General features: G+C 46.9%; 1 protein-coding gene across 3 annotated transcripts in view, besides 1 other annotated feature; it reads left to right on the forward strand.

The window, feature by feature from the left end:
* The first annotated feature begins 11123 nt into the window (after positions 1-11123).
* Positions 11124-25521, forward strand: part of CPLX2 (complexin 2) — an 87489-nt gene continuing 73091 nt past the window's right edge. The window contains exons 1-3 of one of the 3 annotated variants that reach the window (XM_047416650.1): positions 11124-11375; positions 20035-20212; positions 23580-23659. The gene's annotated coding sequence lies outside the window, so the exon portion shown is untranslated. The remainder of the gene's footprint in view (positions 11376-20034; positions 20213-23579; positions 23660-25521) is intronic. The other 2 variants (NM_006650.4, XM_005265799.2) reach the window with 2 other exon arrangements.
* Positions 11618-11737: a silencer, noted in NCBI's record as "silent region_16645". NCBI's record gives its function as "represses an Ori minimal core promoter by ATAC-STARR-seq in GM12878 lymphoblastoid cells {active_cell/tissue: GM12878}" and the evidence as "EXISTENCE:reporter gene assay evidence [ECO:0000049][PMID:35858748]".

A 25521-nucleotide genomic window follows, 5' to 3' on the forward strand; every position in this document is an offset into this window, starting at 1 on the left:
ATGGAGTCAATAATAGCTAACCTACATGGATGAGAAATGCAAGATACTCTTAGGAAAGGGGAAATGAGTGTTAGAAGGCTAGAAATTGACCCCAAACTGCAAGCTCCACATGTTTCCTGGATAGAGAACACATTAAAATATTTAACTGACCTCAAAATGGTCATAATAATGCATGTTTGCACAACTCTTTAAAATATACATATATATACTTTAATTTTTAGAGCAGTTTTAGGTTCACAGCAAAATTGAGTGGAGATGCAGAGATATCCCACATACCCTCTGCACCCACACAAGCATTGCCTACCAACTTATCAATATTCCCCACCAGAGGGTATATTTGTTGCATTTGATGAGCCTACATTGACACATCATTATCACCCAAAGCCTATAGTTTACATTTGGGTTTACTCAGTGTTGCACATTCTGTGGATTTAGACAAATGTATGATGACAAGTATACACCATTGTAGTATCATACAGAGTAGTTTCACTGCCCTAAAAATCCCCTGTGTTCCACTGATTCATTCCTCTCTACCCCAACCCCTGGCAACCACTGATCTTTTTACTGTCTCCATAGTTTTGCCTTTTCCAGAATGTCATATAGTTGGAATTACACAATATATAGCCTTTTCAGACTGGCTTCTTTCACTTAGCATGCACTTAAGTTTCCTTCATGTCTATTCATGGCTTGACATCTCATTTCCTTTCGGCACTGAATAATGTTCATTGTCTGGATGTTCCACAGTTTATTTATCCATTCACCTACTGAAGGACATCTTGGCTGCTTCCAAGTTTTTGCAAAATCATGAATAAAGCTGCTATAAACATCTGTGTTCCGGTTTTTTTATGAACATAAGTTTTCATGCACACTTTTGAACAGTTCCTTTTCATCCATTACTTCTTTGGAGCCCCACATTTTCTCTGAAAGGTAGATACTAGTAACTCCAATGTCTAGATTACCAAACTGAGGTTCTGGCCAAGAACGCATAACAGATCAGTGATAGAGATGAGATTTGAACTCCTAAGGTCTATATTTTTTTCCTGGCCTTGTCATTGACTTCCTGGAAGATGAGTTTCTAGAAAACCAAACTCAAAGCTGCCCCCAAATGGCAAAACACAGACCGAGCCCAAGTTCTTCATCCCCTACTCAGTACACACATATGCCCACCAGGACAGCCTGTTTCATGCTGCCCTTGGTTCTGGGCACCCTGAATTCGATCGTTGGTGAGTCTGGCTGATGGCATGACCCACCCTCAGGCCCCCTGATAGTACCGTTATTTTCCACTAGGCAGATTCCCTGGCTGTATCCAAACCAACTCCAACCAGACTCTAAGTCCCTTGCCTCCCTCCTTCCCTCTGTTCTTGCCTTTCATCATCCAGTGTTTACTGAATACCACCTAAGACCTAATGTCCTTATCATAGCATTTTAGCTCCCTCACTTCCATTCCTCTGACCTCTCCCTCCAACCACTTTCCCCTCATTCACTCTACTCCAGCCACCTACACTCTTCACAGTTCCACAGATGTATGAGGCACACTCCACCTGGTCCCTGCTTCTTACCCACAGGGCTTATTCTCTCATTTCTTTGAAGTTTCTACTTAAATAACACCTTATAAGCAAGGTCTTCTCTGACCTCCCAGGAAAAAAAAAATCAACATCTCCAGTACTTCTAGCACCATCTCTGTTTTAACTTTTTTAAAATTTGTATGATAACAATTATCACAACAAATGTCTTACATATTTATGGATTTATTATATGTCTCCCTGTTCCATGAGAAGATGAAATTTTCAAAGATAGAGATTTTCGGTTTTATCCATTGATGAATTCTAAGCATCTAGAACTATTCTTGGCCCCCTAGGGTACTCAACAAATATTTGTTGAAATAATGAATCCTATCAAGACTGTCATGTAATGACTCTCTTCCAGACAGGGGTGACACCAGCCCAAGGACTCTCCAATCTCAGGAAACCCAGATGAGACTCTCCAAGAGCTAACCTTGAAGCCCCTTTTACCTTTTCCTTTTGTTTTAAGAGACAGGGTCTTGATCTGTCCCCCAGGCTGGATGCAGTGGCATAATCACAGCTCACTACAACTTCGAACTCCTGGGCTCAAGCAATTCTCCAAGCTCAGCCTTCCAAGTAGTTAGGACTACAGGCATGCACCAAATATATATATGTATATTTTCTAGAGATGAGGTCTCACTATGTTGTCCAGACTGGTCTTAAACTCCTGACCTAAAGTGATTCTCCCACCACAGCCCCCCAAAGCACTGGTATTGCAGGTGTAAGCTACCACTCCCAGCCTACCTCTCACTCTTGGGGTGCTCCTCTCCCTCCCCATGACAGTGATGGGATGGCGTGATACCCAGCACTCCACTAATTCCAAAGAAATCCCCTTTCCTTCTCTCTTTAACTTCAACTTTGTATGCCCTCAAGCCTGGTCAAAATTGTTTCAAAATCAATTAGTATATCTTTCATTGGTAGACTGGCACCTCACTTTGCCTGAGGCTGCTTGGCATATACATTTTATTTCTGGTCTCTGTGGCTTCAGCTGACATTGAAATATAAACAGTCCACTAACACCCTGCTACACATACATCATATCACTGAATGTTCACAAGGACCACGCCACACAAATCTCCTTGTCTCTCTTTTGCAGATAGGGAAACTGAGGCTCAGAGAGCTATTACTCTCTCACTGGATAAATGATCACAAAGTACTTGTCTCTCAGTTGAGAGAGCTATGGATATTATGGTATTCCGGCCCCTCAATGCCACTCCTAGACCGTGAGTCAGGGTCTGATTGTCTGCTGTTTTCACTGTAGCGTAGGACTCTGCCTCCCACCCAGTCCTTAGAACATCCCCTACTCCCAGCCAGGCAGAGCCCAGAGAGGCTGTGGACACCGATCAGCAGACCTCTTATCCACCGATGCAATAAGCAGCTTGGAAAGGAGATAAATGGATGTGATTATTGGCTTCAAATGAGGTTTAGGGATTATCTGTGGATTTTCTTTATCCTTGTGGCAGACACAGTGGAGAAGGGAGGGGCTGTGAGTTCAGAACCCAGGGGAGGGGACCAAGCACCTTCGTGACTTGAATTGTACCAAAGCTTGAGAGTCAGATGAATTTTGGCATGCATACAAGCTCTGTGGCCTTGGGTGCGTCACTTCACCTCTCTGAACCTGCTACCTTCCTCTCCACAAGGAGTGGAAACATGCTAGGAATGTTCTTCTTTCACATCAGAATAGGGTCACTCACTCAAGTACTGGTTTGAAGGAGTTCACATACAACCGCAAAACTGCATTAATCTTTCACATCAGAATAGGGTCACTCACTCAAGTACTGGTTTGAAGGAGTTCACATACAACCGCAAAACTGCATTAATTACCTCTGGGCATCTTATCTCCTATTGCAACTCCTCAGCAACATCTTGAAAGAGCAAACTGAAATTACTATATACAACACTAGCAATAATAATAGCAGCCTCCATATACTGAGCTCTTCTTAAATGCAAGCACTTGTGGTCATATTACCACTTAATCCTCTCAATAAATGCTAAGAAGTAGTTTTATTGTATTCCCATTTTACAGAGAGGAAACTGAGTTCCATCTGGCTTGCCCAGTGTCACAAAGTTGATGAGGGGTAAGACCATGCCTAGAACTCAGGGTTAGGTCCCCCAAAGCCAATATTTAAACCACCTGCTAAATGCTTCCATTGCATGTGCCGTGATTTCAATAGCATATTCTGAAATGGGTTTGAACCAGCTTCATTAGAGTAATTATATGTAATCCAACTACTTTTGTGAGCACTAGCTATACTTGTCTCTCTGAGTCGTCATTTCTTCATCTGTTAACTGGGGGTGATAACGCCTTCTCTCATATGGCTGTTTTGAGAATTGAATGAGATGTAATAAACATTTAAGAAGTATCAGTTTTCCTTCTTTTCACCTCAAAAAAATTAATATAAATTGATTTGCTGAAATTATAACAACTGGGGTTTAAGAATATCAATAACAATAGGAAAATAAGTCAGGTGCAAAATTGATGATGTTGGAAATTGTCTACCTACCCAGTCGTGTGTCGCACAATGCTAGAAGTTTTGAGATGCCGTTTATTGCATTGACACTAGAGCTACATGACATGGAAATTAGAGTGGAAAAAGTGTCATTCTCACTAATTCAACAAACAAGCATTGAGCTACTTTTGCCAGCACTGTGGGTGCTATGGTCTGTATGTGTCCTCAAAATACATGTGCTGGAAACTTAATCCTCAGTGCAATAGCACTGGGAGGTGGGGCCTTTGGGGAAGGCTTTTAGGTCATGAGGCCTTGCCCTCATGAACAGATTAAAGCCACTATAAAAAGGGCTTGTGGGAGTGAGTTCTGTCTCTTCTGCTCTTCTGCCATGTGAGAACAGAATTCATCCCTTTTGTCCTTCCACCTTCTGCCATGTGAGGGCACAGCAAGGAGGCTCTCACCAGATGCAGTGCCTTGTTCTTGCACTTCCCAGCCTCCAAAACTATGAGAAAATAAACTTCTGTTCTTTATAAGTTACTCAGTCTCAGGTATGTTGTTGTAGCAACACAAAACAGACTAAGACCCAATGTCCTTACCATAGCATTTTAGCATTTTAGCTATGGGTTCAGAGATAAACAAAACAGATATGGTCCTTGCTCTCATGGACATTACATTCTAGTGAAAGAAACAGAAAATAAACATAAATAAGATGTTTCGAGGAGTAGCGTGTGTTATCAAAAATAAAACAAGGTAATCATATAGTGTAACTTGGGGCAAGAAGAGGCTATTTTAAAGAGCAAGCAGTTCAACTTTCTCTGAGAAATAAACATTGACACGAAGGCCTGAATATTGAAGAATAGGCACTCCTGGAAGGAGCTAAGGCCCAGAGCTGAGAATGAAAGGTATGTGTTCAAGGTACACAAAGCAACTGCAGCTAGTGTGGAGTGAGCATCAGGGTAACTAATGGAATAATAAAATTAAAAAAAACAGGTGGCACCAAATTATGCAAAACCTTGAAGGCCATTGTAAAAAGTTTGGATTTCATTCTAAGTTCAACAGGAAAAATACCATTAGAAATTTTTAGCGGCCAGGCGCAGTGGCTCACACCTGTAATCCCAGCACTTTGGGAGGCCGAGGCAGGTGGATCACAAGGTCAGAAGATCGAGACCAACCTGGCTAACATGGTGAAACCCCGTCTCTACTAAAATACAAAAATTAGTCAGGCTTGGTGGTGTGCGCCTGTAGTCCCAGCTGCTGGGGAGGCTGAGGCAGGAGAATGACGTGAACCCAGGAAGCGGAGCTTGCAGTGAGCCAAGATCGTGCCACTGCACTTTCAGCCTGGGTGACAGAGTGAGACTCTGTCTCAAAAAAAAAAAAAAAGAAAGAAAGAAATTTTTATCAAGAGGCTAGTAACTTGATCTGTTTGATACAAGCCACATCGGACCCACACAAATATAGTGCTAATTGTTTGGATATGCTTTGTCCCTGCCAAAACTCATGATAAAATTTGATCCCCAATGTGATTGTGTTGGAAGGTGGGGCCTAGTGGGAGGTGTTTGGGTCGTGAGGGAGGATCCCTCTTGAATAGATCAATGTCCTCCCACGGGGGTGAGTGAGTTCCTGCTCTCACAGGAATGTATTAGTTCCCCCAGAGACTGGGTTGTTAAAAAGAGTCTGGCTTCCTTGGCTTTGCTCTCTCGTCTCCTCTCTTACCATATGACCTCTTTGCAATGCCCACTCTCCTTCCACTTTATGCCATGAATTGAAGCAGCATGAGGTCCTCACCAGAGGCAGCTGCCCAAGCTTGGACTTTTCATCCACCAGAATTGTGGGCCAAATAAGCCACTTTTCTCTATAAATTACCCAGCCTCAGATATTCTGTTACAGCAACACAAAATGGACTAAAACATGTGGGTACTTGATTTATAACAAAGATAGTACACAGAGCAGAAATGGGAAATAGTCTTTCTTTCAATAAATGGTGCTGTATCAATAGGGTAATGATATGGGTTACAAAAATCATAACCAATACTTTATACCATATACTAAAATAAATTCAATGTGGACTACAAATATAAATATAAAAAGTAAAACAATAAAGATTCTATAAGATAACAAAGAGAATATTTTCATAATCTGGGATAGGCAAAAATTAAACAGAAAACAAAAAGTGCTTTAAAATAGATAAATTAAACTTTAATAAATTAGCGACTTTTGGTTATCAAAAGACACCACCAACAGAGGGAAAGTAGCAAACCACCTGATGGGAGAAGATATTTACAATACATATAATCTCAAAGTATCCCTACCCAGAATAGATATAAAAGTCCTACTAATCAAGAAAAAATATATATATCACAATAGAAAAGTTGACAAAAGTCATTAACAGGTACTTTACAAAAGAAGGTTTTCAAATAATCATTAAATACGTGAAAAATTACTTCATTAGTCATTAGGTAAATTAAAATTAGAACCGCTAAATATCATAGAATGGCTAAAATTAAAAACAGACTGACAATACCAAGTGTTGGTGAGGCAATGGAGCAACTAGAACTCTCAGGCACAGCATACAGGATTAAAACTGGTATCCCTTGGCTGGGTGTGGTGGCTCACACCTGTAATCCTAGCACTTTGGGAGGCCAAGACAGCCAGATTGCCTGAGCTCAGGAGTTCGAGACCAGCCTGGGCAACATGGTGAAACCCCATCTCTACTAAAAATACAAAAAATTAGCCAGGTGTCGTGGCGGGTGCCTGTAGTCCCAGCTACTCAGGAGGCTGAGGCACAAGAATCACTTGAACCTGGGAGGCGGAGGTTGCAGTGAGCTGAGATCATGCCACTGCACTCCAGCCTAGGCAACAGGGCGAGACTCTATCTCAAAAAAGAAAAAAATAAATAAACAACAGCAACTGGTATCCCCACTTTGGGGAACTATTTGGGAGTATGGACTAAAGCTAAGTATATGCATACCTTACCCAGAAATTCCACTTCTGGGAAAATAACTGACCAAAATGCTTGCATATATGTACCAAAAGATTTACACAAAACTTGGAAACAATGAAAAACTCCATCAACAAACTGAGGTGTATTCATATAGTGAAATACTACACAGCATGAAAAGTAACATTGCTGACCCAGGCAACAACATGGATGAATCTCAAAAACATAATATTGAGCAAAAGAAAAAAGCCAAATTCAAAAGCGTATATACTGTCTAGTTTTTTTGTTTGTTTTTTATTTGCTTGTTTGTTTGTTTGTTTGAGACAGAGTCTCACTCTGTCATGCAGGCTAGAATATAGTGGCACAATCTCGGCTCACTGCAACCTCCACCTCCTAGTAGCTGGGACTAACACAGGCGTGCACCATCACATCTGGCTAATTTTTGTATTTTTAGTAGAGATGGGGTTTCACCATCTTAGCCAGGCTGGTCTTGAACTCCTGACCTCAGGCAGTCCACTTGCCTTGGCCTCCCAAAGTGCTGGGATTACAGGTGTGAGCCATGGTGCCTAGCCTTGACTTCTTTCTTACTCATCTGTGAAGTGAGGATGAGAGTCAAACCTACCTCACTGGGTTAATATGTTTCAAGGGCTTCAAAAGTCCCTGATACAATTCAGCCCTCTGTAAGTTAGCCATTTTCAGGGTCTGTGTGGACTTCCCCGAGGGATGAAGAGACAGAAGGTAGATTTTAGTTCTTGTGCCAAGACTGTTTAATTAGCATGGTGATTGCCCTTTAAATCAAGGAAACAAATGATGGCATATAATGTTATTGCCACATAATAAAGTCCATCAGGACCAAAATCCAGGAGCCAAAAGACATCAAGTGCATATATACAACAGAGGAAATCCTGGCTTAGCTGGGCATTGGCTGTCTAGGTGCTAATATGCTTTTCTGTATATGGGAGAGGAAAATCGTTACGATTATTCAGCAACCATTTTGGAGAGCTAAATTCCAGCCTCCCCAAAGTGCTTGGAGATAAGGGGCAATACACTTCAACTTTCCAGAGTACATAGTCCAGAGTTGTGCACTCCTAGATTAAGTGATACTGCTCATCCCTTTGAATTATTGCAGCAGCCTTTAAGCTAGACTCCCATCTGTGTCCAATTTTTTCCTCTTCAACCAATACTGATCACCTACACTGTCTCAGGTTCTCTACTGGGTGCTAGGGGACAATGAGAACAAGCTCACAGGGATGGCGCACTATTAAAGCACTTTGCAAATTGTAAAGTATTGATTCAATGCTGTTGCTGTGGGGATGATCAGGGGTAGTGGCAGTTGTTAAAGCAGTTGTTGAACAGTTCTCTGCTGCCTATGGAATAGAGGCATGGCAGCCAAGTCCAAACCAATTCCTGCCTAATTTCCCATCCCCTATTCCCTACATCAGCTTTACAGTCATCCACACCGAACCTATAGCAGTCCCTTCATTTTCACACCCCAAGGCTCTTAAATATTCCATTTCCTCTATCTGACATATTTTCTTCCTTTTGTCTGCCTGTAAAACCCCCACTTAATCCTTTAGGTTCCAATTTCACCCTCCTGTAACTCCTCCTAACAGGCAGTGTTCATCCCTTCCATGAGCATTTCTCAGTAAAGGCCAAGATATATCAGAATGACCTAAAATCATCTTCAAATCCCAGGCCCATACTGCTCACCAGAAGTTCAGATTCAATAGGTCTGGGGTGCATAATGATTAAGAGCTCAGGCTTTGAGTCAAAAAAACTCAGGTTAAGCCCCAGCTCAGTTGTTTACCAGCTCCATGAGCTTGGCCATGTTACTTAACTTCCCTAAGACAGTTTCCTCTGTGAAAAGGGAATAGGAAAAAGAAAGAATGACTCGTTGAGACAAAGTACATAAAATAGTACAGTACCTGACATCTGGGAAGCACTCAACAAATTATCATCATTGTTATTGAAAAGAGTTCCATTTTATTCTGATTTTGACAGCCTATCCACTTCTTCCCCACCCTACCCCATGCCTCTCCAGGTTGAGAATCACTGTTGAGCAATTATCAAATTGTATTATAATCCAATGTGTATGTGCTTGGGTCTCCTACTACCAGGAAATTCAGAAACTATGTCATAGTTGTAGATCCCCAACATGTAGCACTGTATCAAGAACAGCGTCAGTATTTACAAGCTGTGTGACCTTGTTCAAGTCTGTCTGCCTCTTTTGGCCTCAGTTGATTTGGCATAAAATGGGGAGAATAATGCTTACCAGATAAGGTTGTCAGAAATATCAAGTGAGATAGTGAATTTGAAATTACTTTAAATGATGTGTAGGAGTGAATTGCTATGCTTCTGCCATCTGGGGTGAAAAGGGGCTATGGTCCAGGTTTGTCACTTTATCTATGCCACATATCTAGGTAAAGGGGCTCTCTCCTTTCTCTCCTTCCCTATCTCATGGAGTATCAGTTTGATCCTCTTTCCTTAAACATTCGTAGATGATTTGTGCCTAATAGAAGACTTTAAAATGACCTGCAAAGTGGCTCAAGCCTTTCCAAGGAGAAAGGGACTATTGGTGCATTGGTGTAAGTTCAGTTTCTCTCAGAATGCTAACCACTGAGAACACTGCAGTAAGCTTGACAGACAGGATCCTTGCTCTGGTTGCGTTTGAATTCTAGTTGAGGGAAAGTGAATGATACACAGGTAAACATATAAATAAAATAATTTCAGAGAGTAATAAGTACTACAAAAAAAAAGAAGAAAAGAAAAAATGCAACAGGTAATGTTATAGAGTGATTGGGGGAGGAAGCATTAGGTAGGTGGCCAGAGAAGGCCTCTTTGACAAGGTGACATTTGGGCTGAAATTCAAATGACAAGTATTCAGCCATATAAAGATCAAGATGATGAGGGTCCCAAGCAAATAAAACAGCAAATAAAATTAAAAAAAAAAACTTTAAAAATACCTTGGTACAAAATGGAGGCCATTGTAGGAGGAATTACTGAGACGGGGAGAGTGGGTCATGAGGAGGCAGGAGGGTTGGGCACGGATGTTGTACGCGGAGCTTCGCAGTCTGTGATTCAAAAAATAGAAATCAGGCTGGGTGCGGTGGCTCATGCCTGTAATCCCAGCACTTTGGGAGGCTGAGGCGGGCGGATCACGAGGTCAGGAGATTGAGACAATCCTGGCTAACATGGTGAAACCTCATCTCTACTAAAAATACAAAATATTAGCCGGGTGTGATGGCACGCGCCTGTAGTCCCCGCTACTCTGGAGGCTGAGGCAGGAGAATCACTCGAACCCGGGAGGCAGAGGTTGCAGTGAGCTGAGATCACGCCTTGCACTCCAGCCTGGGCGACAGAGCAAGACTCCGTTTCAAAAAAAAAAAAAAAAAGAAAGAAAAGAAATCAAATGAGCAATTACATGAAGAAAAGGAAGTTATTTTGCCCTCTGCTTCTCATGTGTACATTCATTCAGCAGATATAACTCAACCTCTATTGTGTGCCAGTCACCATGCTAGGAGATGAAGATACAGAGAAACATAAAATATGGAACTAGTTTTTATTAGCCTGGCAACTGAGGATAGAGGTGCATGAGTAACACAATATGATGAGAAGTGTAGTGGAGGGTTGTAAAGGCTGAGGGATCCTAGAGGAGGCGGTGACTGACTGTGCCTTAGGGGCCAGGAAAATTTGCATGGAAAATGAGGATGCTTTCACTTGCAGATAAAGCATAAGTAGTAAGGAAGGGAGAAAGTCTCAGCCAAAGGGAAGGGCAGGTGCTAAGGCCCTGGGGTGAGCCTGTTCAGAGTAAGTGGTCCTCTGTCATGATGGGCACATAGCTTGTCTTGCTAGTGAAGGATCTCGTCAAAAAGTTAGTTTAGAGAGCTTTCTCTGGGACATGGTAAAAGACAACCTGGAATGAAGTACTAGCGGCAGTCAGGCCAGTGAGTGGGGTTGGCAACAGAGCAGGTAGGTAGACCTGCATTTGGTTGCTGGTCACAGAAATGGAGAGTGAGAGATATTTCTAAGTCAGGATGCCCTAGTGGCAGACCCCCAAGTCCTCGAACTTCAGGGCAGAACTGCCTGGGTGGGAACTCTCCCATGTCTCCTTGATTTCACTGCCACCTCTGCTGGCGTCCTCTCTCATCTCCGCCGCCAGCCCCCGCCTCCTTTCTCGGGAAGCTTGGGTCTCCCTGGGAGCGGGTCTGCCCTTAGGGGGAGGCCTCTGGGCTCTGTGCCCTGCAGCTCGGCAGGCATTCGAGGCGGACAGAAACGGGGCTTGGCGCCCCCCGCGTGCACGTGTGCTAGCCCAGGCAGGAGGGAGCGCCTCGGCGGAGGAGTCAAGGAAGAGGGGGAGGGAGAAACGCGCCAGAACCTCGGCCCGGGCGCCCTCGTCGGCCGCGGAGGAGCTGCAGCCTCCAACAGGTTCGTAGAACGCGCGCTCGCTCCCTGTGGCTGAGCCGCCCTCCTCCGCGGGAGCGGTTGGCGGAGAGACCCCGGCCACAGGCCCCGCGCTCGAGAGCTTCCTAGAGGCGGCTTCCTCCGGCCTCTCCCCCTCCCTGGAGCTCTCAGCCGCCGGCGGCTCTTCCGGGGCGAGGCAGAGGGCGCCTCGGGCTTCTCGCTCCAGCACCATCTCGGGGACAGCTCCCGCGCCGCACCGGGTCCCTATCGGGTCAGCACTGCAGCGGCGGACAGCGGCGGCCGGGCGGGCTCCTCCGCACCCTCCGCCCTGGTTCCGCGCGGCTGCTAAGGACCGTCCCTCGCCCCCGCGGGCCGCTCCCAACGCTAGCACCGCGGCGGCGGACAGCTCTCTCCGGCGGCACCGCGAACCGCGAACAAAGCCGCGGGTCTGGGGCCCCCAGCGCGCCTAGGGGTGGCGTGAGGCCGCATCGATCGGGGGATTTCAGCTTCTCCCAGAGAGGTGTCACCGGCGAGCTAGGCGGGGGCCTAGCACAGCCGCGCGTCTCCGGCTTGGGTCCGCCGCCCGCCGAGGCCTGGCCGTGCAATGGCGGGGCCCAGCTAAGAGTGGGCAAGAGGTAGAGGGGAAACAGGCACAGAACGGTCCCGGCTCCGCTAGGCGGGCTGGGCCTAGGCTGAGGTCCCGGCGGGGAGGAAGGAGTGCGCCGCCCCGTCTTCCCTCCAGACCCCCACCCCATCCCAGCTCAGAATCGCGGACTTCCAAGAGCCCTGCACAGAAGCCCGCGGCTGGCAGCTGCAATCACTGACTCCGGCTGTCCCCGGAACATCCCTAGAAAGTGTGAGGCTGAGTTTCCGTAGGGGGAGGGGGCTGAGAAGCCGCGGGGAAGCCTCACGAACGGGACAGCTCCAGGCTCCCTCTCTCCCTCACTCCCCGGGTTCCGCCCCCACCTCCAGAGAAATCCCAGACGGCAGAGAAGGCAGGGGGGAGGGGGCGACCCAGACAGCAGGTTGCGAACTCGGCTTAGACCTGGGAGGTTGCAATTAGCAAGAAAAAAGGTTGAGGGCGTCTGTGAAGCCGGGAGGTTCCCAAACAGGGAAGCCAGTTCCGCGGCAGGAAAGCATACGTGGAAGAGAAACCTTTTCTCTGAGAGCTGAGGCTGGGAGGGCCCTCGGATCACGTGACACTCTAGATCACTGATTGTCTCCGCGGAAGACAAGGCCTAGGGGGCAGGGGTGATTCGCCCAAGGTCACTCAGCAATTTAGTAGCAAAGCTGGGCCTAAAACCCGGGCTCTCTAACTCCTGGGCCTGTTGCATAACATTCATAGAGAAGTCTTTTAAAATCCCACATGCAAGGAGAATAGCAGAGTGGTTTACTTACTAGCATATGACCTTGGGCAAGTGACTGTCTGAGACTATCTTCAGCTATTAAAGAGGAATGAGAAGATCAATAATACCCACTTCGATGAGAATTTAATGAGAGAGCCATGTAATGAGCTTAGTGGCACATAGTAAATGCTCAAAAAATGGTAGATCCCATGACTGCTATCATACTTTCTGTAAACTTGTACTGGGGACCTGTTATATACCAGGCACTGGCTGTGCACTGGGGAGGCAGAGAAGTAGCTTGAGGAGGTCACAGGCCAGAAAAGGAAACAAACAGTTGCAATATGTTATGATAAGTATCAAGGCAACTGGGCTGTGGGATCTCAGAAGCAGGAGTCACGAACTGTAAGGAAAGACCAGGAAAATGACCCCAGGCAGACAGAGCTGTGTGTCAAGGCCAAGAGATGTGAAGTCCCAGCCACCAAGGCAATGTCACTGTGCCAGAGGGTCCTCAGGATGTGGACTGAAAGATGAGAGTGGAGAGAAAGGCTGGAGCCGGTCTCCAAAGAGCCTTTTATGGATGGAATCCTTCAAACATATTTAGAAAAATAGAAAGAATAGTATAATAACCCCCCACATACCCATCATTCAGCTTCAACAGTTGGCCAATTTTGTTTCATTTATACCCACACCCACTCTCATCACACACACCCACATCCACTCTCATCACATGCGCACACACTCACACTGACTTATTTGGAAGCAAACCCAAGACATCACATCATTTCATACAGAGGGATTTTAACATCAGTACAACTTCTGCCATGCAGATACTGGACAGCCTTGGAAGTCACTAACTCAAATCATGACCTTTCTACCTCAATTCATTCTGAACATTTCTGTCCTTTGCAGAATGTTTTGAGAAGCCACACTATAGTGATGAGCCACATGCATTAAAAGAAACTGTTTCAGAAATAAACAAGGGATGCATCAACACTCAACAGGTTTTACCATGCCAGAATTGTTCATGTCCACTACCTACAGTGGGCTTTAGACCAATTACTAAAGACAAATCAAACTCTACAGAGAAAAAGCAAGAGCTTCTCTTTCAAAGTAATCTGAATCGTGAGTTCCTAAGGCTAGAAAGCTTAGCATTATGGAAATCATTGATTTGGAAATCATCAAGCCCAATAGCCACATTTTACAAATGAGGAAGAGGGGGTAAAAAATGGGGAGAAAATGGCCCAAAGTTCCATGGTGCAGAGACCAGAACCGAGATCTTTGAACTCATAAACTTAAGATCCCATTTTCTTCTCTAGCTCAAAGAGGCTGGAAGGTGGAAAAGGAAGGGGGGCAAGAAATACCCTTCTTTGTTCTCAAGAAGATGGCAATGTATGACAGTTGGTCTTGATCTTTGAGATCCCTTTGCAAATTTCATATATATATATATATATATATATATATATATATATAGTAATCACAGCTTACTGTATCCTCAAACTCCTGGGCTTAAGGGGTCCTCCCTCCTCAGCCTCCCAAGTGGTTAGGACTACAGGCATGCACCACCATGCCCAGCTATTTTTTTTATTTTTTTTATTTTTATTTTTTTTGTAGAAATGGAGTCTCACTATGTTGCCCAGGCTGGTCTCAAACTCCTGGGCTCAAGTGATCCTCTTGTCTCACCTCCCTAAATGCTGCTGGGATTAAAGGCATGAACCATCCCACCCAGCCCCTTCCATATACTTTCTAAGTAACTTGATCTTGGTGGCACCTTCTTTCTGGCTGCTGTGTTAACCTCCCAGCTGGCCCCTTAGTTCTCATGAGCAAAAGGCTGCACAGTCAGAAGCCCAGATCTCATTTTTGTGGATTTTTGCCAGCCCTGCTTTTCTTAACCAGATGCATATGAGGCCTTCCTTTTCCGATTTGCCCTGAATTTGGCTGCACACCTAGCTCACAGACCTCAGCTCCTTGGAGGTGCTAAATGAGTAGTATTTGGCTCAGGCTCTGGAAGGACTCAGAGCTCTTGTGCCTTTTGAGAACATAAATTCTCCCCATTACTGATGAAATGTGATGGCCATGATGGGTATGTGTGTCCTGACTGGGCTCTGGGGCTCTGATTCTGCCAGTCAGGCTTTCCACTTTTCAGGGAAGCCCCTGCCTATCAAATGGGGAGGGCAGTGTCTCACAAGTTTCCCCAAGTCGTAGGTAGAAAATTCAGAGCACACGCAAAGAGCTCTTAGCATCCTTGGTGAAGGGAAGTCAGCCATTAAAAGCCAATAAGAGCCAATAAAAGTCCCCTTGAACCCAGGAGGCGAAGGGTGCAGTGAGCTGAGATCATGCCACTGCACTCCAGCCTGGGCAACAAGGCAAGACTCTGTCTCCAGAAAAAAAAAAAACAAGTGCCTTGTTCTGGGAGTGTGATTGCAGTCCAGACATAGACAAGTGATCAAGATAGGGCATCCCAGCTTGTGAAATTATCCCAGCTATCAGCTTGGGATGAGACTGACTTAGATGCAGTATATTACCTGGGCCTAGCTGAACTGCAATATGTAAGATCCCAAAGGGACTTGGTGAGCATCTCCTCTTCCTTCAAGACGCTTACTCATTGAATGGCTATTCTGTGTCGGGCACCATTCCAAGTGATGGTGATACAGCAGAACAAGGCATGCTAATCTCTGTTCTCATGGGGCTTACAGACCCACAGTAGGCACAGTCATTGATAACAATTGAAAAGCAAATGTGAAAATAGACAGACAGAGAAGGCCTGTGTGAACTAGTGACATGGAATTGAGGCCTGAATGACAAAAGTCAGTCATGTGACAACGTGGGGCAGCACACTCCAGGCAGAGGAAATCGCTCTGGCAGAGGCCCTAATGTGAGCCTGGACTGCATGGGGACAGATGGGAGGTGGAGTGAGTGAGGGGAGAGCAGCAGCCGCCAGGGGCAGGGAGGGGGCAGAGAGGAGATCATGCAGGCCCTTCTAGGCCATGGTCAGGATTGAGGCTTTTATTCTAAATGTAATAGATAGTAGCCAGATGGCTTTAAGCAGAGGAGTGTTAAAAAAAAAAAAAAACTGGGTTTTAAAAAAATGCCTCTGTTGCTGTGTGGAGAGTGGATGATATGGGGGTGCTGGGCTGAGCACTGAGGCAGGAAGGGTGAGACACAGCCTCTCCCACCTGGAGGAGGTCAGCATTCAGCTGAGGAGACCATAGGCAAGCAAGAACAACAGTAGCCCACGCTAAGGGCTGCCATTGTGGGAACAGAGACAAGAAGATTTAAGTCAGCCTGGGAAGCATCTGGGAAGGCTTCATGGAGGTGGGCAATGGATGTGGGATTGTATCTGGGAAAGGAGAGTGGTAAGGCTGCTGCATAGGTGGACCAAGGGGCAGCGTGTGGTAGCTGTGGAGGGCATGGCCCAGGAGCTAGGCTGCCTGGGTTCAAATCCCAGCCCTGCCATTGAGAAGCTGTGTGGGTTTAGGCAAGTTGTTTACCCTTGTGTGACTCGATGTCCTCATTCTTAAAGTGGAGACGATGAGAGTCCAAAGACTTATTTCAAGGGATTTCTGTGAGAGTTAAACAAGTTAAAATATGTGCAGCACTCAGACATTCCTGGCACTCAGAAAGTGCCGTATGAGTACGAGTATTCTAAATAAAAACGGAGCAAAATGGAGATGGGCGAGCCGGGAGCACATGCCAAGAAGTGTCCACTAGAGCCCGGCTCGGGGCCTCGAATCCCAGACCAGAGATGCCCACCTTGCTCTGTAAGCAATGGGAGCCATTGAAGACTTTTAAGCAGGGGGGTTCAGAGTAGAGAGGAAGATAAAATCCAAAGGCCCAGAGAGGGAAGGGAACTAACCCACAGTCACACAGCCAGTTACTGGCAGGAGTCTCTGTCCTCCAGCTCCTCCACTGAGTTAACATCTGTAGGAGAACAAAGGCAGTATATATTTTGTCCCATCATTGCATCCTCAGAGTCTAGAATAATGCCTAGGGTATTCTCAGAAAATATTTGTGGGGTACATTGCTGAATTGGTAGCCAGTTGGGCCAGGAAACATCAGAAACCTTGAATCCTCTAGAAGCTCAGTGCTTTCAGGACAATGGTGAAACCAGTCTCAGGAAAATAAACCAAACTTCCAGAGGTGTTGACGTGGGGTCTCAAGCCCTTCCAAATCCTAGGTTCTCCTGTGATCAAAGACACCACTGCCCACACTTTCCCTGCCGCCCCCTCAATCTGCAACAAGCATTGCTGCATAGGGTTCAGAAGTTAATCTTGGTAAAGTGCCTGGCAGATGAAAACTGTTCCTCAGACATTCAGTGTGGTAATTGCCAATGCGGAGAAAATGTATCTCCACGTTTGCAAGAGGCAGGCCTTTTTGTTCCACAAAAACCAGCCATTAGAATTCCTGTCTCTGACTCGTCGGAAGCTGCGACAGCCAGGAGGGCAAGCAGGGTCTTGCAGTTCAAGCAGCAAATGGCAAAAGGCTCCGAGGAACTCAGCCCTGGCTCTCACATCAGGAACACCTCTGCAGAGTAGGGCATGGGGCCAGGTGCTTCTCCAACAGGAGAGAGCCTCAGCCCTGACCCTTCCTAGCTGGACGATCTTGAGCAAGTCCCACCATCTATAAAATGGGGGTAATACCGCCAGGGCCCACTGGGTCATTTTGCACAATGACAGGCACATACCAGATGCTCAACAAATGTGCTTCCTTCCTTCCTTTCTTTTTTTTTATTTTCCTTTTTTTTTTGAGACAGAGTCTCGCTCTGTCACCCAGACTGGAGTGCAGTGTCATGATCTTGGTTCACTGCAACATCCACCTCCCAGGTTCAAGCAATTCTCCTGCCTCAGCCTCCAGAGTAGCTGGGATTACAGGCACCCGCCATCACACCAGACTAATTTTTGTATTTTTAGTAGAGACAGGGTTTCACCGTGTTGGCCAGGTTGGTCTCGAACTCCTGACCTCAGGTGATCCGTTTGCTGGGATCCGAAGTGCTGGGATTACAGGCATGAGCCACCCAGAGTGCTCGGCCCAAATGTGCTTTCAATTGTGACAATAACACTGTGGGTTAGGGTTATCATCCCATTTCCCAAATGTGAAAACTGAAGCCCAAGGAATGGCTCATTGATTCGTCAATACCCACTGGGCAGCTGTATGAGCCAATAACTGTTTTAGAAGCTGGAGAGACAGGGAAGACGAAGACAAGGACCATGCCTCTATGGAGCTCACTTTCTACTGGGAGACAGAAGCCAGGCAAGTAAACAAAATCATTTCACCAAGTCATATAAATACTAGGAAGAAAGTAAAAGAGAGGAGTGTGCCGAGGAGGATGAGGCTGTTTAAATCAGGGAAGGCTTCAAGGAAGAGGCATTGGGACTGGCATCTGAATGAGAAGCTGCCTATGGGACAAGCGTGGAGGCAGAAGAAACAGAACATGCAGAGGTCCTAGGGCAAAAACAAACCTGACAAGATTGCAGGATAGAAACCAAGTGAGCAAGGAGGAGAGTCACAGACGGTGACAGCGGAAAGGCTGTAAGGCTTGGGTTAGGCAGGACCTTGAAGGCTGAGGGAGTCTCTTTGGGAGACAGAGGGGTGGCGTGATCTAAATTGTGATGAAGTCACTTCCCTCAGTCACTCAGCCAGTAAGGGGTGGATGGGGTGAAGCCCATGTCAGAGTGATCCCCTGGGCCCTCCTTCAGGCCACAGTCCCTGCTGCCATCTCTAGAGCAGGTCAGCCAAGGGGCAGGCCAAGTGATGCATCTGCAGGACTCACCTGCTGGGAAATAAATCCATTGGCGCTGGCAGCCGTGTGGGCGCTGCAGTGCCTTGCGGGCAGCATCCTAATGCCGGGAGGATGCAGGGGGAGGGAGACGACATAAGGCCACCAGGACTGGGGTGAGGCCAGTAAGACACCTGCCTCTGGTGCACAATTTAAGGGGATGCTGAAAACTTGATTAAGATAAATAACTTTTTATGCAATTTTTTTTTAAATTAATGCAAAAAAACCGTGATGAATAAAATATCAAAATTTTAAATCAAGACAGGATACAAAAGAGCAGGGATTAGGGTGAGGAAGGTGAAATGAATTGTGCATAAGCAGGACCTAATCTTGGCCCGAAGACATTTGCTTAACTGCAGGGACACTGCCTGGGCCAAGCACTGTTCCCACTAGGAGCCAGTATCAAGAGCCAGTCTGCTCATGGTGAACCAAAAATAAGAAACTGTTCCTGGTGGGGGCCCCAGAGAACACTGCCTGCCTTGGCTGTGGAGACAGAAGCCCAGAGAAAGGATCACACATCAAGGAGGTGATACTGGGCCTGTACCCTAAGGTGCTGTGTAGGATCAGACCCACCCCTTGTATGCTTTGGGAGCCTAGTAAGGTGCATTGCCTCTCCAGCCTCAATTTCCCCATCTGTGAATCCAGAACTAATAAAACTTAGTCACCAGGATTCAGTAGGGTACTGGTTAAAGTCCTCTAGCGCCTGGCTACTCAATGTGTGGTCCACGGACCGGCAACATCAACATCAGCTGGGAGTTTATTAGAAATGCACGATCTCAGCTGCATCTCAGAGGCATTGAATCAGAACCTGTGTTTTAACAAGACCCCCCGGTGATTGACACACCCCGGTGATTGACACACACGTTTAAGTCTGAAAGCCTGGTCAACTCTTGGCACATAAAAGATGCTCATTAAATGTTAGTGCTACTCCCCTGACTACCCAACCCTGTTAGATTCTGACTTCAGACAAGAGGAAAAACCCAAGACGTAAGAAGAGATCCTGAGGTGGACACCTCATGCATTTTAAACCAGCAAGTTTTGAAGCGAGGGACCCTGGCCAAGCTCTTTCTATACTTAACTGTATGAGCCCTCCATTTTGTTCACATGTAAAATGGGGATAATAATTATAGGTAGCTTCTATGGTTGTTGTAATATTAGGAAAACACTCAGCACAATGCTTGGCACATAGTAAGCATTCGGTAAACTCTTGCTGCTGTGGCCGCTGCTGGTGGTGGGTCAATGAATTTCAATAGAGCATAGACCATGTGATGAAATGAAATCAATAACATTCATATTAATTATTCTTTGCCATTTGTAAAGCATTTCAGTTGACGCCATTTCAGCCAACCCTAATAACCCTTTTGAGTAAGCATAAGATATATCCATTTTTCAGAGAAAAAAATCTAGACTCAGGGATGAGGTGACTTGTCCACTAGGATTTAAATCCCTGGAGTCTGACACTAAAATCTGTGTCAGCAACAGAGAATCCGAGCAATAAGCATGGAAAATATAAAAAATGGGATGAGACAGCATTAGACTGCAGAGATCCCTTTTTGTTTTGCAGAAGGGAAAACGGACACCTGTGGAGGGGAAGAAACGTGTCCAAGATCATTCACACAGAGCGTCAGCTCTGGGGTCAGAACCCAGCTCCCAAGGCTTTCCGTGTCCAGACCACCTCCCTCACCTGGTTGGCCAGCCTCCACCTGATGAGCCGGGCAGGCTGCAAGTGGCAAGTTCCCTGGGTGGGTCTAGTGGTCAGGGGGCATCCCAGCCCCACCTTTCCTTCCAGCACAGTCAGAGGAGCTCACGTTGCCAAGGGGAGGGCTGCGAGGTTGCCAGGACATGGTCTGCAAGCAGTCAGGTGGTAGGGGAAGCCTTTGCTGGAACTGGCACTAGGAGCTGCCACAGCGATTTTCTCGTGGCTGGGAGAGGACCTCCAACTCCACAGCATGGGTCAGCTGATGAGAGGGTTGACTGCCACAGACGCCCATGTCACCGCTACACACACACCCAAGCCAGCAGGCTGAGTCCCATTCTCCCTCAGCTCCACACCTCATCAAGCCCTGAGTCCTGATAGCTACTCCTCCTATCTTTGCCACCCCAAGCCACTGCCTTAGCACAGTTCCCTGTCCACAGCCTGTTAAGAGCACCCCAGATTCCCCACCTTCATGCTCCCTTTCTCATCCTTGAGCCCCTGAGGTGCCTGGAAGGATCTAGAGCGCAGAGCTGAGCCCTGCAATGGCTCCCCATCACCCTCAAGGTGAAGCCCAAGCTCCTCTAAGGCCCCTTCTAAACTGGCTCTGACAACCCGCCAGTCTTTTTTTTTTTGGCCCTGAGGCTCCAGCCAAGCCACCTTCCTCCCAGTTCCCTCAGTAAACCATGCATCCCCCGTGTCTTTGCAGATGCTGTTCCTTCTGCCTGGAAAGCCCTTCCTGCCTCACTATCCACTTGGCCTCTGCAAATCCTTAGCTCCAGACTCACCTTTTCAGAGAAGCCCTCCAGCTTCTCTAAGGTGATGAAGAGAGAGGCACCTTAGAGAAACCTGTGTTAGAGGGGGTGACACACTGTAGCTTAAGGATCTGCTTTCCTGCTCGTGTCCCCATTCGGCTGTGAACTTTTTTTGTTTTTGAGACAGAGTTTCACTCTTGTTGCCCAGGCTGGAGTGCAATGGTGCCATCTTGGCTCACCGCAACCTCTGCCTCCTGGGTTCAAGTGATTCTCCTGTCTCAGCCTCCCGAGTAGCTGGGATTACAGGCATGTGTCACCACGCCCGGTTAATTTTGTATTTTTTTTTTTTTTAGTAGAGATGGGGTTTCTCCATGTTGGTCAGGTTGGTCTCAAACTCCCTACCTCAGGCGATCCATCACCTCAGCCTCCCAAAGTGCTGGGATTACAGGTGTGAGCCACTGCGACCAGCCTCAGCTATGAAGTTTTTATGTCTCACTCTTAGAGTAAGACAAGAGACCTTGGCAGAGTCATTCTCCTACTTAGTTACTCACGGGTTTCCACTGTGCGAGATCAAGGCCTCTCTGGGCCTCCGTGCCATCCTCTGTGTGGTAGGGGTTATGACATTGGCCTTGCCAGGCTAGCGGGAGTGTTAAGGATTGTGACTGTGGGGGTTTGGCACACAGTAAATACACTGAAGGTGGTGGCATTGCTGTTTTGTTTACACCAACACCACCAGTGCCCAGCACAGAGGCACAGAAAACTCACCAGCAAGTGCGTGCTCAACGGGCCCCTCGCCTGCACAGGAGAATGACTAGTGTGTGAAAAGGCTCTGTAAGGAATGACGCTCCATTCTAAGTCATAATAATTCTAGTAGTTCACGCTTTTGATTCTCCCTGCCTCCTAGACCCAAGTCATCCCAACATGTGTTCTGCCCACTCTTCATTCATGGAACAAAAGTTTACTAAGCACATACTATGTGCCAGATGACGCGCTAGCTGTTTGGGACTGAGCAGTAGGTAGACATTAAACACAGAATTGTACCACCTCTCCTTCTTTCCTTCCCTTCTTAAAGGCCAGCCTCCTGTCCCTGCACACAGGTGGCCCCACCTAAGGACAGGGAAGATGCCATTTGCTCCCAGGTGCTCGTTCCCTGGGCAGACAGCAGGCTGCAGCCCACAGGCGCCTACCCTTTCTCCCTCCCCAGCAAGCTGGAAACAGGAACATCTGCCCTGTTTTTAATCCAGTTGCTAGTTTTAAATTCAAATATTGTCAGCTCCCTGAGAGCAGGGATCATGCCTGCCCTTTTCACTGCAGTTGTCACCAGCATTTAGAACACAGCCTGGCAGAGTCATTCACCCACTTACTCATCATTCATTCATTCATTCATTCACTCAACATATACTTATCAAGTCCTGCTAAATGCCAGGCTCTGGGGAAACCACTGGGCTCGGCCCCAAGAAGCTCCTATTCCAGCAAAGGAAGAGGGGAGGGAAGTGGGGGTCTGAGGATTGTGTTAGGAGGTAACGGTGCCTGGAGTGGGCTGATCCCTGTGGGAATCCCTGATTCACTCTATACTGTCTCCCTGATCTGGGCCAACCGTTCATGCCTCTCATCCTTAGTCCTCACCTCTGCAAGTGAGACAATAGTATCTGCTTCCTGGAGCCACTGAGAGCAGGGCTATCGTTACTAAAAGAAGAGGAAATAGAGAGCTGGGGGAGGAGGCGACAGGTTGTCCTGGGAGGAGGACATTGCAGCCCCTTCAGTTGCTGGGGCCTTGGTGCCCCGCCCAGTGGGGGCCTGGCTGCAGCAGAGAGCAAGAGCTGCAGAGAGAAGAGTTCCAGCTCCACACCTACCCCTGTGTGATCTTAAGCAGACCATCTCCCCCTCTCCGCATCAGTATTTTCATCTATCAAATGAGGATGGAACATCGACCTCACTCATCCTAAATATGTGATACCAAATCTAGCAAACTTGTCACGATGCTCAGTCAACAATTATTTACTGGCACCTACAATCTGCCCGGCCCCGTGCAGAGCTCTGGAAACAAAGTCATGTAACGGCCAACCTTTGCCTTTTACGGAATGCATGGTGCCCCCTAGAATCAAGCAGAGGAAGGTAATTAAAATTTAAGGAGCTATAGTGTAAAAAAAAAATCTTCACAGACGTGGTCTTATTTAACAACAGCAATCATAACAAGCACTTATATAGCACTGAGTATATGAGGCCAGTAGTATTAGGCATCCCATTTTACAGATGAGGACACTGAGGCTCAGAGAGGACATCCCCAAAGCTGGAATTCAAAACCAGATATGATTGATGATAAATCCTGTCCCTTTACACCAATCAGAAATCACATTTAAGTAAGAAAAGTATGGTCAATTGTACTACCACCAAAGTACGGTCAATGGTACAGTGCTACCCGCACCAGTGAACAAGATGAGTAACTACTATCAGATTGGGTGAGGTGGGCCAGGAGTTGGGTCTGATGCCAGGCAGGGTCCCATCCCGCCCAGCCCTTTGCTGGAATCAAGAGCAGCAGTGGTGGCCTCCGGAGAAGTGAGGGCATGCCTTCACTGGGGTCTGGGGCTCCATGCCCATTCAGCAAGCCAATTCCCCAAGAAGCTCTCTCCTTAGCCCTCAACCTCCTCTCTCCTCCTCCAGGAAGGTGTGGTCCCTGCCATGCTATCTGCTCTGCTCAGCGACTGAAGGTGCCCGCATCCCAGCTCTGCCAGGAAGCAAAGGTAAGGGCACTGCTCAGCACTAAAGCCCTGGATAGTGTTCAGGGCATCCCCTCATCCCTGGAGCCCTGATGAAGGGGGCACGTCTTCCCCTCTGTGATTGCCAAGAACAGTCCTAAGATGGAGTGAGATGGATCAGTTGGGCAGTGTGATGGAATGGTGTTTACCTTGCATGTTCAGAGCCGTTTACAACAGAGAAGCACTTTCTTGTGCAATGCCTTATTCAGTGCTCCCCAAAAAACCTGAGGTGGATATTATTATCCCCAGTTACAGATGAGAAAACTGAAGCTCAGAGAGTGAAAGGACTTGCCTAAAGACACACAGCTGGTAGGTAGCTAAGGCTGAATTCCAAGCTTTTTCATGTCCGTATCCCAATGGCCTGTGCACATTGTAGGTGCTTGGTACATGTTTGATGAATGAATGAATGAACTGATGAACTGCCCAAGATGAATGGAAAGGCAGGGCTGGGCTGGCACTTGGCTCTCTTGTCACTGTCAGATCCTGTGCTTTTTCTGCTGAGCCACGGCTTCCTGCACTGATGAGCTCAACATCCCCCATGCCACCCCCTCCCCAGCCCAGGATCCCAACCATCTTATGGGTGGAGGAGTCAACCTCAGCTCCTCTTCCAGGTGGCCGGCCAAGCTCGGATCACACCCGGCATCCCTCATCCACATCGCCTCTTCCCCACCACCCACGACCAGTAATCCAGTGTGCATAGTTGTAAACTTGTTTCTTTAAATAAACAGTCTTGAGTTTCATACCAAATAGTCTCTTAAGAGAAGGAACGTCTCCAGGCCACCTCGTATTTAGCATACAGTGAGCCACATATTTGCACAGAGAGAGTGTATGTGGATATAGAGATCGCTCGATCGCTATAGATATCGTTGCTCATCCAGATGGGAGCTATTTATGATGCTGAGTCATTCGCAGAGAATGCCACTGAGGAATTCCAGGCTGGGCTCCGAGCCCCAGCATCACAGACCTCATGGCTCTCTGCCTTGTCTTCACTGTTCACAAATGAGAGGTGGGAGGGGGGCCTCCCATCACAGGGCAGGGACAGAAGGGAACATTTTGGCCACAGGAAATGAAGATTTCCTCATAACTAGTTCCTACTGTAAGTCATTCTCCTCCATCCAGAGCCTTGCACCCTTAGGGATCATCTTGTCCAATTCCTTCATTGTGTAGGAGAGAAAACTGAGACCCAGAGTGGGGAGGGACTGGCCCAGTGTCACACAGAGAGTCGGGGACAGAGCTGGTGCTAAAGCCCAGACCTTCTGGCTGCTGTCTGGGGTTTCCACATTCCCAGCAACCTTCTTCAGGTTTTGTCTCCAATGTCTTGGCATTTCCTCTCACTGAGGAGCTTCTCATCTTCCAAAATTTGGAGATGTCACTGAGCACTTGCACCTTTGGGCTCTTGCAGGACAAGAGCTGACTCCAGCTTGTTTGGGTACTCCAGCCCCATGCTTAGTGCAAGACCTGCACACACTGGCTGCTCAATACGTGTGTACTGAGTGTTATATAAGACCAAACTCAGTACCAATTCCTGGGGAACCCATTTGGAAAAGCACCCATCTATCTCCACCCTCTCTTTCTTGTCTCTAAGCCAGTTCCCTATCCATGCAAAAATAGACTCCCTCCCACTCACCACCCACCTCTGCCCAATTCTATAATGAATCAATTTTATTAATAGGCTTTGGGATGGAAACTTGACAAAGGCTTTTTGTGAAAGTCTCGCTTTATCTCCCTACATAGTTCACTTCTCAAAGAATTCTAATAAACTGGTCAGGTGGAATTTGGTCTTACATAAAATATTCATTAATCCACTCTTTCCCTCCATATAGAATGTATTGGTTTAAGCATTCAGT

The sequence above is a fragment of the Homo sapiens genome, chromosome 5 (genome assembly GCF_000001405.40).
Source record: "Homo sapiens chromosome 5, GRCh38.p14 Primary Assembly".
NCBI lineage: Eukaryota > Metazoa > Chordata > Mammalia > Primates > Hominidae > Homo > Homo sapiens.